This window comes from Homo sapiens, chromosome 1 (assembly GCF_000001405.40).
Source record: "Homo sapiens chromosome 1, GRCh38.p14 Primary Assembly".
Classification (NCBI taxonomy): domain Eukaryota; kingdom Metazoa; phylum Chordata; class Mammalia; order Primates; family Hominidae; genus Homo; species Homo sapiens.
In genome coordinates, this window is record NC_000001.11 from 201,378,192 (window position 1) to 201,380,832 (window position 2,641).

General features: G+C 56.0%; 1 annotated feature.

Annotated features, from left to right (window-relative positions):
- Positions 1,332–2,095: an enhancer, noted in NCBI's record as "H3K4me1 hESC enhancer chr1:201348651-201349414 (GRCh37/hg19 assembly coordinates)". NCBI's record gives its function as "activates a minimal SCP1, AML or CMV promoter by ChIP-STARR-seq in naive H9 embryonic stem cells {active_cell/tissue: H9 hESC(naive)}" and the evidence as "EXISTENCE:reporter gene assay evidence [ECO:0000049][PMID:30033119]".

The window sequence follows — 2,641 nt, forward strand, 5'->3', positions numbered from 1 at the left end:
GGTTGCCGGCTCTGCCAGCCCCAGTGAGGACATCTGCAAGGTGGGTCTTCTCCATGACCCCCAAAGCCATGTGGCACACCCTCCTCACAGGGAATGGACTGAAACTGCTACAGGAGGCCAGATACAAGGTAGAACTTCCAGTCAAGAACCTTGAACAGGCGCTCGTTGTGTGAGAGGGGTGATGCGGACTGTCAAAGGTCATCCCCTAACGGCTTTAAAATCAAGCAGTGCGGGGCTATGATCTGCTAAACCTACTAGATTGCAGATGCATAGGTCAGGCCTAGGGGTCTTGCTTGCTTGCCTGTGTCTGACCATGCACATGCACTTGTATGTTCAAGGCTGGCCCATTGCAGGGTTTGGTAGATTATGAAAATGAAAGAGACAGGAGGAAAGCAAGCCAGTAAGCAGCTGAGCTGACTCTCCCCTCCATCTCTTTCTCCGAATCTTCACAGCCTAGGTCCTGCTTGGCTCTGAAGCAGGAATGGTCCTCCTCTGGAGCAGGCCCTCCCCTCCTCCATGACCCCCCCTGGCACTTAAAGATCTTGCCCATTCATGATCCACACTCCTCTGTTTCTCCGTGGGCAAAGAAAGCAATCTCGCTATTCTCTGCCCCCTTCTCCCATCACCCAATCATGTGTCCCGCCTTCCCAGTCCTCAAACTCTTCTCTCAATCCCTCTGCCTTGGGAGCTACTATGCTGCCTCCACCACTAATGTCCTTGAAAGGGTCCTCTGCGCAGGGGACTGCCATTTGCTCCACACCCATGCTGCTGTCAGACTCTTGTCCCATCACTCAGCTGACTCCATCCCCTCCATAGTTCCCTGTGGCCTCTGAGTCCAGTGGCCTTGATTGCCCTGCCACGTGGGCCTCCACACTGCCAGCACATCTGTGGCAGGGCAAGCTGAAGCCAACCGCCCGCTGGCCAGCATTGTGGGACTGAGGACCACCACAGGGAAGCAGGGGCACTTTGTAGAGAGACAGGCAGATGGAGGGGACAGATTCCCGAGGGATAGTGAGGAAGGAGTCAGGCTGTCAAGAAAGTGGGGGGAGCCCCATCATCTCTCTCTCCCATTCTAGCCCACGAAGCAGGGCCCAGCCTTGCCTTGGGTCCTGGCCTGGAGTAACGTAGAATTCGGAATTACTTTTCCCAAACCCTTTTTTAACTTGAGGGTGGGTTACTGTTCCTTGTAAGCCCAATAACCTTTCAAACAGACCACGGTTTATTTGCATGGATGCCTAGAAGAGGGATCTGGGCACCTAGGTCACTACTGAGCCCCATGGGAAAAGCCCAGTAGATCCTTGGTGTCACAGGCCACACGTGTATGGCTTCGAATTGTTCTAAGGCAGGAGCTTCGTTCAGAGCGCTGTGAGACAGCCTCTCAGATAAGGAAATCCAGCCCCCATGCAGCAGCCACTCCTGGGCATAGTAGGGTTACTCTTAGCCCATTTTTTTTTTATATCCCTGTCCTTTCAAAGGGATGTAAAGAGAAAACAAAGCCAGAGTGGAATGGGAGGCTTATGCTGAAACAGTGCATGTAAATTTGAGGATCCACAATAGGACGGGCCACTTGTGGGGCACAGGGCCCCTGTGGCAAGACAGCAGGAGGGTGCAGCCCGGAGTGGTGTGTGGGAGCCCTGTTCTGTCTCCAGAAGGTGCCCAATGTCACCCATCCAGAGGCCTCCCCACCCGCCTGGACACCCAGTCGCTACCACTCATCTATCCCCAGCTGAGGTCATCTTGGGCACACCCTGGTCTCCTTGTTTACTGGCTGCGTCCCCAGTAGGAACGAGGGCAGGGCCCTCACGTGCTGGATTCACAGGGGAGGGGGCTGTGCTGTAGCACCCCGACATTTCCCCTAGCAGTCAGCCCTCACTGGGCACCCCAGGGGAGGGGGGTGCAGGCATGAAGGGCCCTGCTGAGGCTGCAGCTGCAGGAACAGGCCCCTCAGTGTCTTCCTAGGCTCTTACTCCACGGTCAGGCCCTGCCAGGTGAAGGCCTCCAGGAGCCTCTCCTCTGTGTGGGGACAGTTTTGTTTACTGGAAAAGTTCACCTATCATGGCATGAACATATGAAAGTTCTCTGAGGTCATCTGCTTGAAGTTCAGAGAAGGAAAATGGCTCAGGGTCACACCTGAGGTCTGGGCAGAGCCAGAGCTGTTTAGATGTCCCGAGGCTTAGGCAGGACTCAATCCGTTCCTCGGCCCTGCCCCAGCCTTGTCCTCCAACTCTCGGCTATGAAGTTGGAACACTCACAAAGCCCCAGCACTAGCAGTGGGTGGGAGGTGCTCGGGGCAGGGACCCCAGGTCCCGATATCCCTCACTCAGGCACAGGAGACTCACTGACCAGAGGTGGGTCAGCCTGGGGCACTGGGACCTGAGCACGGATGGCACTTTGAGGGCCTGTCCCCTGGGGCACAGATCTGAGGAGCCCTCACCCAGAGTCACAGAGTAGGGCTAGGGCTCATCCCCCACACACTTGGGGAACTGGACTGGTGATACCCCCTTAGGAGCCGTGTTAAGGGTCGTGTTCCAAAAAGACCTGGAGCTTCCCCAGGCATGCAAAGGGGGAATGGGCAGGGGGCTCTGCACCTGGCCACATCCCCAGCTGATTCTGGGTAAAACTAGGGCAGTCAATCAAGATG